Source organism: Homo sapiens, chromosome 6, assembly GCF_000001405.40.
Source record: "Homo sapiens chromosome 6, GRCh38.p14 Primary Assembly".
Classification (NCBI taxonomy): Eukaryota; Metazoa; Chordata; class Mammalia; order Primates; family Hominidae; genus Homo; species Homo sapiens.
Genome location: NC_000006.12, coordinates 160653130 through 160665822, shown reverse-complemented (window position 1 = coordinate 160665822; position 12693 = coordinate 160653130). Strand labels below are relative to the sequence as shown.

The 12693-nt window shown below is 41.7% G+C and overlaps 1 protein-coding gene across 1 annotated transcript in view; it reads left to right on the top strand.

The window, feature by feature from the left end:
- Positions 1548-12693, top strand: part of LPA (lipoprotein(a)) — a 132794-nt gene continuing 121648 nt past the window's right edge. The window contains exon 1 of the mRNA NM_005577.4: positions 1548-1657. Within this exon, the coding sequence (NP_005568.2) occupies positions 1609-1657 (49 nt within the window). The 5' untranslated portion in view covers positions 1548-1608. The remainder of the gene's footprint in view (positions 1658-12693) is intronic.

Below are 12693 nucleotides of genomic sequence, written 5' to 3'. Positions count from 1 at the left end.
TTGATTTACAACTGGGGCTTGGATACTGTTTTAAACGGGAGGAGCCTCCTAACCATCTTGACACAACCACTGACGTGACTACACTAGAGATAGACTCTTTCCACTTAATTCTACCACTCTTGCTTTACTTCATGAGAACGAAAATGTAAGATTGCACCATGAATTCATTTGCGGAAAGATTGATACTATGCTTTTATTTTATTTTATTTTATTTTATTTTATTTTATTTTATTTTATTGAGACTCTCACCCCGGTTGAAGTGCACTGACGTGATTTTGGCTCACTGCAACTTCCACCTCCTGGGTTCAAGTGAATACTCCAGCCTCCCTAGTAGCTGGGATTACAGGTGCCCACCACCACGCCTGGCTAATTTTTGTATTTTTAGTAGAGATGGGGTTTCACCACATTGGCCTGGCTGGTCTCAAACTCCTGACCTTGTGATCCACCTGTCTTGGCCTCCCAAAGTGCTGGGATTACAGAGTTGAGCCACCGCACTCGACCCTATGTTTTATTTTTAAAAATATTTATTTATTTATTTAAGCCACAACTACTAGAATAGGAAGGATTGATATTTTATTAATTTTATTTGGTATTTATTATTTTTTTTTCTTTCCTGAGACATTCTTGCTCTGTCACCCAGGCTGGAGTGCAGTGGCACATTCTTGGCTCACTGCAACCTCCATCTCCTGTGTTCAAGCAATTCTAGTGCCTCAGCCTACTTAGTAGCTGGGATGACTGGCATGTGCCTCCACACCCAGCTAATTTTTGTATTTTTTGTAGAGACAGGGTTTTGGCATGTTGCCCAGGCTTGTCTCAAACTCCTGGCCTCAGGTGATCCATCTGCCGTGGCCTCCCAAAATGCTGGGATTATAGGCATGAGCCACCACCCCCTCCTGGAAGGATTGATATCTTATAACATAATTTATAATTACAGAAAACATGTGAGTTCACTAGGAATAAATAAATTTTGAAGATAATAAAAGATTTTCACTTATGTTGTCATTTCGGCACAGTTTGGTATAGGATGTGGAGATGTTAACATTTATACCTAGCTTGCTCGTAAACTAAGACCTGAAAGGGTTGTGTCTATCAGCTGCACCCCTGGGTAGCGACACAACCTCGGGAAGGCCTCAGCCCCCTCCTCGTACAGCACTGCCTGTTGGAAAGCTTGAGGGAGGCTATGGATGTGCAGCACTTGGCAGAGGGTCTGGTCATGGAAGTTACCAGCAAATATGAGCTACTTTTATGATTTTATTTTATCCAAAAGAAAGAGAATGAAAGAAGAGGGGAGGAAACAAGACTAATCAGGAAAGATGAAGGTCTAGGGGTGAGGGAAGGAGTAAGGAGACATAAAGGCAATGTGGAGCAGCTGAGGGGGGAAATGGCTTTCACCACTTCCCAGCATCTATTGACATTGCACTCTCAAATATTTTATAAGACTCTATATTCAAGGTAATGTTTGAACCCTGCTGAGCCAGTGGCATGGGTCTCTGAGAGAATCATTAACTTAATTTGACTATCTGGTTTGTGGGTGCGTTTACTCTCATGTAAGTCAACAATGTCCTGGGATTGGGACACACTTTCTGGGCACTGCTGGCCAGTCCCAAAATGGAACATAAGGAAGTGGTTCTTCTACTTCTTTTATTTCTGAAATCAGGTAAGACATAGTTTTTTTAAATTATAAGAATTATTTTTTCTCCCACAATGTAGTAAAAATACATATGCCATGGCTTTATGTGCAATTCATTTAATTTTTGATTCATGAAATTCCCAGTTCAAAATCTTGTATATGATTGAAAAATTCTTAAAAAAATAAGTTTAATTTCCCCGTGAAGACTGTCACGGTGCTGGAATGAATGGGCAGAAAAAATAATGGTTGATTTTTCTAATCTAAAAGAGTGTGCCTACATGATGGCCAGTCTGGCTGAAAAATAAATAGCCATTGTAGCTAACTATGCAAAGGATGGCTAAGCTCTTCGCTTGGTTCTCAGTTTCATTAATTTATATCATCTCTGTTCAGGTGCCATGCTCCCCTCACTAGCAAGTTGAAACAATGAAATAACTCTTTGAATATGTTTGGTTCCTTGACCTGTTCATGGAGTGGGACTCAGCATTTCTCTCTTTGTTATGGCCTGAGTAAGGCTTTCCATCGGTATACATTTGCTTCTTATCCCTGGAGAAATTATACACATCCATTTGCCAGATGATATACGCATATAATGATTCAACAAATACTCAGGGTATTTGTTGAGTGGGTTAGGTCCCCACATTTTTATACATACATACACACATACACACCGTGTGTGATTGTGAATGTAAGTGTGTGTCCTTTACAAATACTAGCTTATTTAGCTCATGGTATAGGTAGGGTAGCATAGTCATCCCCATTTTATAAACAAAGAAATCTAGACTTAGGAAAATCATGTTATTTGTCTCGTGACCAAATTCCCAAATCAAGGAAATAAAGAAACCTGGATTTAAGCCAGATTTCCAAGAAAAAATCTAGGGCTCTTCTCACTTTTTCATCTTTGTTCCAACATTTGAAAAAATAAATCTAAACACATTCCAATGTAACTGAAGAGCAGGTTAATTGTTTGCCACTTGCAGAATCCAATTAAGAAGAGAGAAGTCTGGTATAAAGAAAGTGATTTGCTTCCAAAGCTAGCTTAGGGGAAGAAATGCAGCAGTCCTGCCGTACTACTTCACTTTAGGAGCAGAAAGTGGCACTTTTAAAAGGCAACAGAGGAGGCGAGCAAGGATTCAGGGGTCCATGCTAGCTTGGGCACCTTATCCACCAGGTAGTTGAGCAGTTGCCTGCTGGTGCCTTTGTGAGCAGGGTGTTGTCCCTTGAGGCAAATCTCTGGAGGGTGAGAGTTTTGTAGTGGGCATGCTTTGGTTTATAAATCACCTGTGAACTCAGGAGTTCCATCTTGAAGCACATACATAGTTAGATGAACTTGCCCTGCAGGGAGAGTCTGATGAAAGGGAGGTAGATGCTTGCAATTTAATCTATAAATTACCAGATAAAATTTTACAAGTTGACTTTAAAGTCAAACACATTTGAATTTAGTGGAAGCCATTCAAGAAAATATCAAAGAAAATACAGAGCAGGAGAAGATTAAGCAAAGAGTTTTTTGGGGAAATTGGTGTCTATGTCTGTGTGTGTAGGGAGTGCAGGGGATATGAATATTCTATTTCAGCCCATGGAAACTAGGATGTAGATCACTGTGAACTTATTCAGCAGGCTACACCCAAAGGCTAGAACAAACTTCTCTGCCACAGGATTAACATATGTTTTAATCGACCTGGGGGGCACATTCTCTGATAAGCTCTTTTGGAAAGCCAGGCTTTCTGTGGACGTGTTATCTTTCCAATGTGTGCTGGAATGCCCGGGGAGAGGAAAAAGTTTCTTTTACAGCCATGCTCAGTGAGAAGCGGAGAAACATCTTCTATTCACAAATTGCTAAGTCTTTTACACATGCAAATATGCATACACATTCACACACCACAGTGAGGAAGAAATTCTCACACCATTAATAAAATACATTTACTTCAGTAGCAATATACATCTACATTTTGCCTATAATATAAAAGTATTTTTCCTATTAAAAGATTTGTTTAATGTTTCTTCACCAACAAATAAACCCTATTAAATCCCCATTGCCATATGAGCCCTGGAGGTGAATCAGAGAAACAAAAGGATTGTGGAAAAATCATCAGGTTAAAAAAAGAAAAATTGATTCTGTTTTGGGATATTTCCTAGCAACATGAGCTGGGGAGGGGATCTCAGCAGTGATGCTCTATGAAGCATAATAAAATGACACAGTTACAGGTAACTTAGTTAAAGGGGGAAATAAATGGAAGTTTCCTCTTTTTGAATATCAATTGTAGCCTGCTCTGCTACATTTCAAAAACACTCTTCAAAATGTTTAACTGAACTCACTGTAGGAAGCACCTTATTAATTTATTGTGTGTTTTGAAGTCACACTGTGAGCTATAGAATTTACCCAAGCACAACTCTTCCTGGAAAAGAGAGTTCAAATGAGAAACAGTGCGGGGTGAAGACATGGATATGGGCCTAAAATATCTATTTCTCAATGATATTTTGATATATCTATCAAGTGCTTTTTAGTGGATTAGGTTCAGAATGCATCAGCCAATGCCTGTTCAATAATCCAGTTTTCCAGCATAGAGCATATTAAATTGAGGAAGGACAAAGTCACAGAGGTGGGGAGCAGGTGGACTGTGGCCAAGGACTTTGCATGAAACAGTGAGCGTGCATCCTCCTCCTTGCCCTGCCCTCATGGTCTGTGTACTCTCAGGAGGTCAGGACAGGCCTTTCTGAGAATGAGAATCTGTTCATCTGCCTTTCTACTGGATACTTGTCATCGGCATACAAACACATGTTCTCTGCAGTGTGTCATCTTTCAGAACCTCCCCTGACCCTGTATTCCCTAGAAGTCTCGCTGCTTTCAGAGCCAGGCTTCTCTCCTGCTGCCACCCCCACTGCTCTTCTAGTCACTCTTTAACCCACTCCATCTGCATGTGGCCCCCACCACACCCCTCAAAGTGGTCAAGGTTGTCCTGTTGCTTAATTCCATGGAAGCTTGGCTATCTTCATTTTATTAGCCTCTTTTGGCCTCTCACCCTGTGAAAATCACTACATTTTGTGCCAGAGATGGAGCTGGCATCTCCAGGCTTGGAAGAGGGCTGCTGAAGCTCAGCCAGGTGTCCTAAGGAGCCTCAGGACAGGGGATGCTCAGTAGCCTTGCAATGGGAACACAGCTGAGCCCCACTTGGCCACCCTTTGCCACAACCAGGCAGAAAGCAGCTTTTGAACAGATTTGTTGCCTCAGATTTGATCTCAAAGAAAAATCGTGGGCAGTATTGGTCCCAGGTTCTGCTTTTTTACAATTTCCTCTGAAATCTGGATGCCTATCAACACCTTGGAAAAACTGAATTCTCCCCAACTAATAGTGGTGTGTCACTGTAGTAAGCCTAGTACAAAAATGGCCTTCTTTGTGGAGGAGCTTCATATCCTCCATTTTTTTTTTGCTTAATTTTTGCCCAAGATGAGAACATAATTTAGTTCACTTTTTATTTATTCCCAACATCATCCATGCACCAACATTTTTGTAACTAAAGGAGGGACCATTCAGAAGATGCTTATCAACTGTCAAAGTGACAGTGTTACAACCAATGCACATATTGTAAGAAATCAAACAATGGCCTCCAAGGTTCATTTCTACACAGGGATTAGCAGATCAACATCAATCTTGGCAACACAGTTGCCACTGATGGTGTCTTATTTTTTTTATCATGACATGGCAATCAAGAGCAAACATGATTTATTCTTATTTAAGATTTTATGGTTAGACTAGGCAGATAGCTAGATATGAGCAGGAGGTGGAAGCCCCTGAGAGAATGGAGGTCTGGAGAATCTGAAACCCCAGAGATTACCCAAGTCCTGCATGCTAGACATGAGTGGAGGAGGGGGAATACCTAGGTAGAAAAGAATGCCCCTTAAGATGCCCAGCAGTCGCTCACTGTGCAGTTAACTTTTCAGAATGCTGCTAGATACATGCTGATAGGGAGGGAAGAGGGCAAAGGAGAAATTCCTAAGAGATACACGGTTGCAGTTAGTATACATCTGAGTGCTATACAACCTTCTTTGGGTGGTGGCAAGAAGCAATGCAGCCATTACGTAGAATTCATATCAAACACCTGTATCACAGGTGTTAAAGAAACAAGAAACATTGTACTTCTTGTATTCTTAATAATGATTTGCAATATTGTCTTTAGTATCACTGCAAACCTCTATAAATATGATTTTTAAAAAGTATTTCTTTAGGTTGGAATTACTTCTACGCATTGACTTATCTTCCTGGGTTTCATTAGCCGTACCCGTTGTACTTTCTTCCTTACCACTGTTTATCTCAAACTCTTGAGATTAAAGTATGGGCTCAGGAGGGAGCGAGGAGCTTCAGGACTCTCACGGACCTCCAGCACAGTGTAGCTGCCTTATGGAAAAGTGGCCACACTGTTTTCTGCACTGGTCCCTGCCCCTACTATTCCTCACTGGGCAGAGCACAGCCACCCTGGCCCTGCCTGAACATTTTAGTCAGTGTTGGCTCTGTGCTTCTCTGGGGAGGAAATCCAAGAGACAACCCACAGCCCCTCTGCCATTTCAGCTGCAGCAGTACCACCGTTAATGCCCTTGGGCTTGAGAAAGAAGGGACCTGGCCACTTCCCTGACACCTCCAGCACACAGCAGGGAAAGAATTCCAGTTTCTCTTTCTTGTGAGCTTTCACCTGCTACTCTTCACCAGGCAAGGCTCCTGGCTTGGGCCCACAGTGCAGGCACCTCGAACTCAGTTGAACATTTCCACTGGCTGCACTCTGTGTTTTTGTGGGGTGAAGCTCCCAGAGGTGACTGAAAGTCCTTCTGCCACTAACACTGCAGTCATACTGCCCTTGCTGTACTTGGACTAGGGAAGGAAAAAAGATCCTGAGTGCTTTACTCACACCCCAGTGTGCCCCAGCCACCCTATGGAAAAGAGGCCAGTGTGTCATCCCTGCAAGCACCCTGAGGCCCCTGCCCCTGCTGCCCCCAAGCTGTAGAGCCAGAATATAAAGCTGGCAGAAAAATGTAAAAAGGCTAGACTGGCTTAGCCTCCCAGCCTACATCTTTCTCCTGTGCTGGATCCTTCCTGCTCTTGAACATCGGACTCCAAGTTCTTCAGCTGTGGGACTTGGACTGTCTTCCTTGCTCCTCAGATTGCAGGTGGCCTATTATGGGACCTTGTAATCTTGTGAGTTAATACCACTTAATAAGCTCCCCTTTGTGTGAGTATATCTATATCTATAGATAGATATAGGTATACTCACTATATATACACATATATACATATACTCTCTCTCTCTCTCTCTCATATATATATATATATAATCTCCTATTAGTTCTGTCCCTCTAGAGAACCCCGACTAATACAGATTTTCATACCAGAAGTGGTTCTTGAGGAACAGAATATTAAGGATGGAATTCTTTCATTGGTTTTGGGACTTCTGGTGTTGGCTGATTAATATGATTAGACCAAAAAATGCTAAGGACTCTACTTCTAATAGTATGGAGAACACTGATAGTACTTGGCCTGAATTGTTTAGAGAGTTATGCAAAATAAATGCATTTGACACTACTGATTCATCACTTATGAGAGGCAAGGAGTTTAGTGACTCTATACATAATACCTTTGACTATATGTGGAGAACCAAGGAACATAATGAAGTTGGTTGATTGCTCCTAAGTTCTCTGGAGAAAGAGATGAAAGAAAATGATGATCTCAGGGGATCTGTCTCCCACCTTCAGAAGCAGATACTGAGCCACAAATCTGCTAAGATTGCCCTGAATGAGAGTTTTAACTCCTGTAGAGAAAGAGTTGAAATTGTGAAAAAACAGAGACAAGCTGTTATCATGCGAGTAGCTGATCTGCAACAAGAGGTGCATGCACAGCCTTGCCAGGTGTTTACTGTTAAAGTGAGGGCATTGACTGGAAAAAAATGGGACCCTGGAACTTGGAGTGGGGATGTGTGGGAGAACCCTGATGAAGCTGAGGACACTGAGTTTGTGAACTCTGATGAAACTTTTTTGCCAGAAGAAACAGTTTCCCCATCCCCAGTAGTGGTAACATCCCCTCCCTGACCCGTGCTGCCATTAGCCTTTCCACCTTTGTCTGAGGATGTAAACCCTGCACTGCTTGAGGCAACAGTGATGGCCTTCCCTGAGGCAGCTGCCAGGCAAGATAATGTTGATTCTCCTCAAGAGGCACCCCTAATGCCCCTGAATGCTTCTAGACCTATAACTAGGCTAAATTCCTTGCGGGCCCCAGAGGTGAGGTTCAGAGTGTGACCCATGAGGAGGTGCATTATACTCTAAAAGAACTGCTTAAGCTTTCTAATTTATATTGGCAGAAATCTGGAGAACAGGCATGGGAATGGATATTAAGGGTAAGGGATAATGGTGGAAGGGACATAGAGTTGGATCAAGCTGAATTTATTGGTTTGGCCCTACTAAGTAGGGATTCTGCATTTAATGTTGCAGCTCGGGGACTTAGAAAAGGTTCTGATAGGGCCGGGAGCAGTGGCTCACGCCTGTAATCCCAGCACCTTGGGAGGCGGGGGCGGGCAGATCACGAGATCAGGAGATTGAGACAATTCTGGCTAAAATGGTGAAACCCCATCTCTGCTAAAAATACAAAAATTAGCTGGGCATGGTGATGCGTAACTGTAATCTCATCTACTTGGGAGGCTGAGGCAAGAGAACTGCTTGAACCTGTGAGGCAGAGATTGCAGTGAGCCAAGATCGCCCCACTGCATTCCAGCCTGGTAACAGAGCAAGACTCCATTTCCAAAAAAAAAAAAAAAAAAGTTATAATAGTTTATTTGCTTGGTTAGCTGAAATATGGATTAAAAGATGGTCCAATGTTAGTGAGCTGGAAATGCCTTGGTTTAATGTAGAGGAAGTGATCCAAAGGCTTAGGGAGATTAGGATGGTGGAGTGGATTAGTCACTTTAGACCTACTCATCCCAGCTGGGAGGGTCCAGAAGATACACCCTTGGCCGAAGCTTTGTGAAATAGATTTGTGAGAGCAGCACCTGTATTTTTGAAGAGCCCGTAATTGCTCTTCTCTGTATGTCAGATCTAACAGTAGGAACCACAGTCACTCAACTACAAAATTTAAATACAATGGGAATAATTGGATCCTGAGGTGGCAGGGGCCAAGTGTTGGCACTGAACCATCAAAGGCAAGGTGGGCATAACTACCATAATAGACAGCAGAGGCAAAGCAGCCATCAGAATAGTCTGACTCATGTAGAGCTCTGGCATTGGCTAATTAATCATGGTGTTCCTAGAAGTGAAATTGATGGGAAACCTACTGTATTCCTACTTGATTTATATAAACAAAAAACTGCCAGGTAGAATGGACTAAAGACTAATCTGAATTATAAAAACAGAGAATCATGGGCCCTCAATCAATTTCCAGACTCGAACCTGTTACAGTTCCAGAACCCACTGAATGAAGGGGAGGCTGGATCCCCTTGAGGAAGGACACCACTAGGCTACTGACAACTTATGCTGTTACTCTTTCTCCCATCCTTCCCTAAGGAGACCTCTGGCCTTTTACCAGGGTAACTGTGTGTACTGGAGAAAGGGAAGTAATGAGACATTTCAGAAAGTACTGGACACTGGCTCTGAGCTGACGTTGATTCCAGGGTACCCAAAACGTTATTGTGGTTCCCCAGTTAAAGTAGGGGCTTATGGAGGTTAGGTAATTAATGGAGTTTTAGCTCATTTCTGACTTACAGTGGTTCCAGTGGGTCCCTGGACTTATCCTCTGGTCATTTTCCCAGTGCCAAAATGCATAATTTGTATAGACATACTTATTAGCTGGCAGAAATGCCACATTGGCTCCCTGACTGGTAGGATGAGGGCTATTATGGTGGGAAAGGCCAAACAGAAGCCATTAGAGCTGTCTCTACCTAGAAAAATAAAAAAATCAAAAACAATATCCCATCCCTGGAGGGACTGAAGTGATTAGTGTCACCATCAAGGACTTGAAAGACGCAGGGGTGGTGATTCCCACCACATCCCTGTTCAACTCTCCCATTTGACCTGTGCAGAGGACAGATGGATCTTGGAAAATGATGGTGGATTATTTTAAGCTTAACCAAGTGGTGACTCCAATTGCAGCTGCTCTACCAGTTGTGGTTTTGTTGCTTGAGCAAATTAACACATCTCCTGGTGCCTGGTATGCAGCCATTGGCTTGGCAAGTGGCTTTTTCTCCATTCCTGTCCATAAGACCCACCAGAAGCAATTTGCCTTCAGCTGACAAGGCCAGCATTATACCTTTACCACCCTACCTCAGGGGTGTATCAACTCTCCAGCTTTGTGTCATAATCTTATTTGGAGAGACCTTGCTCGCTTTTCACTTCCACGAGATATAACACTGGTCCATTACATTCATGACATTATGATGATTGGATACAGTGAGCAAGAAGTAGCAAACACACTGAACTTATTGGTGAGACATTTGTATGCCAGAGGATGGGAAATAAATCCAGCTAAAATTTAGGGACTTTCTACCTCGGTAAAATTTCTAGGGTTCCAGTGGCATGAGACCTATGGAGATATTCCTTCTAAGGTGAAGCATAACTTGCTGCGTTTGGCCCCTCTTACAACCAAGAAAGAGGCACAATGCCTGGTGGGCCTATTTGGATTTTGGAGGCAACACATTCCTCGTTTGGGTGTGTTACTCTGGCCCATTTATCGAGTGACCTGAAAGGCTGCCAGATTTAAGTGCAGTCTAGAACAAAAGAAGGCTCTGAAACAGGTCCAGGCTGCTGTGAAAGCTGCTCTGCCATTTGGGCCACATGACCCCGCAGATCCAATGGTGCTTGAGGTGTCAGTGGCAGATAGGGATGCTGTTTGGAGCCTTTGGCAGGCCCCCATAGGTGAATCACAGTGGAGACCTCTAGGATTTTGGAGCAAGGCCCTGCCACTTCTGCAGATAACTACTCTCCTTTTGAGAGACAGCTATTGGTCTGTTATTGGGCTTTGGTGGTAACTGAACGTTTGACTGTGGGTCATAAAGTCACCATGCTACCTGAACCTGCCTATCATGAACTGGTTGCTTTCTGACCCATCTAGCCATGAAGTGGGTCAGCACAGCGGCATTTCATCATCAAATTGAAGTGGTGTGTATGTGATCGGGCTTGAGCAGGTCCTGAAGGCACAAGTAAGTTACATAAGGAAGTGGCTCAAATGCCCATGTTCTCCACTCATGCCACCCTGCCTTCCCTCCCCCAGCCTGCACCAATGGCCTCATGGGGAGTTCCCTATGATCAGTTGACAGAGGAAGGGAAGACTAAGGACTGGTTCATAGATGGTTCTGCACGATATGCAGGCACCACCCGAAAGTGGACAGCTGCAGCACTATATCCACTTTCTAAATGCATGTGTACACTTGTGCTAAGAAAATATCTTTATTTTATTTCCTTTATTTTTCCTTTATCATGTGACCTTAGATTTATGGACTTCACATCAGCATTTAAGCATTTAAGTGTTGTTCATATCAGCATTTAAATATTGTTAACCTTATGTAATAACTTTTGGTTTGGGGATTGGTGCGTTTCTGGTTGTATGAGGATAGTTGTATTATATTAGGCATAATTATGACCTTATTATTGTCTTTATTTGAAGATTATGTATGATTTCAGGATGTGTGTATGGGTTCAAGTTGACAAGGAGTTGGACTTGTGATGGTTAATACTGTCAACTTGATTGGATTGAAAGATGCAAAGTATTAATCTCGGTTATGTCTGTGAGGGTGTGGCAAAAGGAGATTAACATTTGAGTCAGTGGGCTGGGAAGGCAGACCCACCCTTAATCTGGGTACACACCATCTAATCAAGTTCCAGTGTGGCCAGATTGTAAAGCAGGGAGAAAAATGTGAAAAGACTAGACTGAATTAGCTTCCCAGCCTACATCTTTCTCCTGTGCCAAATGCTTCCTGCTCTTGAACATCGGACTCCAAGTTCTTCAGCGTTGGGAGTTGGACTGGCTTTCTTGCTCCTCAGCTTGCAGAGGGCCTGTTGTGGAACCTTGTGATCCGCTGAGTTAATACTACTTAATAAGATCCCCTTTATATACATATAATATATTATATTATATATAATATATATAATATATATTATATATAATATATATAATATATTATATATTATATATAATATATATTATATATTATATATAATATATATTATATATAATATATATTATATATTATATATTATATATAATATATATTATATATAATATATATAAAATATATATATATCCTATTAGTTCTGTCCCTCTAGAGAACCCTGACTAATACAATTTATGTCATTAATCTCATTTATTGATTTGTATACATTGAACCAACCTTATATCCCAGGAATAAAACCTACTTGATTGTGGTGGATTAGCTTTTTGATGTACTCTTGGATTCAATTGCTGGTATTTTATTGAGAATTTTTGCATCTGTGTTCATCAAGGATATTGGCTTGAAGTTTTCTTTTTTTGTTGTTCCATATCAGAATGATGACGACCTCATAGAATGAGTTAGTCTGTCCTCTTTTATCTTTTGGAATTGTTTCAGGAGGCTTGATATCAGCTCTTCTTTATATGACTGGTATACTTTGGCTAGGAATCTCTCTGGTCCAGGGGTTTTTCTGGTGTAGGTTTTTAATTACTGATTCAACTTCAGAACTCATTACTCATTATTGAGTTCTAAAACTCACTTTCATGTACTCTTCAAAAGACTGTCTTCTTCTGTTGTTGAGCGGGGTGTTCTCTCAAGGTCGTTTAGGTGAAGGTGGTTGCTGGTGTTCTTCTGTATCCTTACTGCTTGTCTTTCTCTTTTTTTATTGACTACTGAGGATTAATGGTGATGTGTCCAACTTTAACTCTAGATTAGTCTATTTCTCTTTTAGATTGTAACTCTGTTTTATATATTTTGAAGCTCTGTTGTTAGGCATGTGTATTTGGATTGTTAGGTCTTCTTGATGATGACCTTTATCATTATGTAATGTTTCTTCTTATCTCTGGAAGTATTCGTTGTTCTGAAGTCTATTTGTGCTGATATGAATACAGC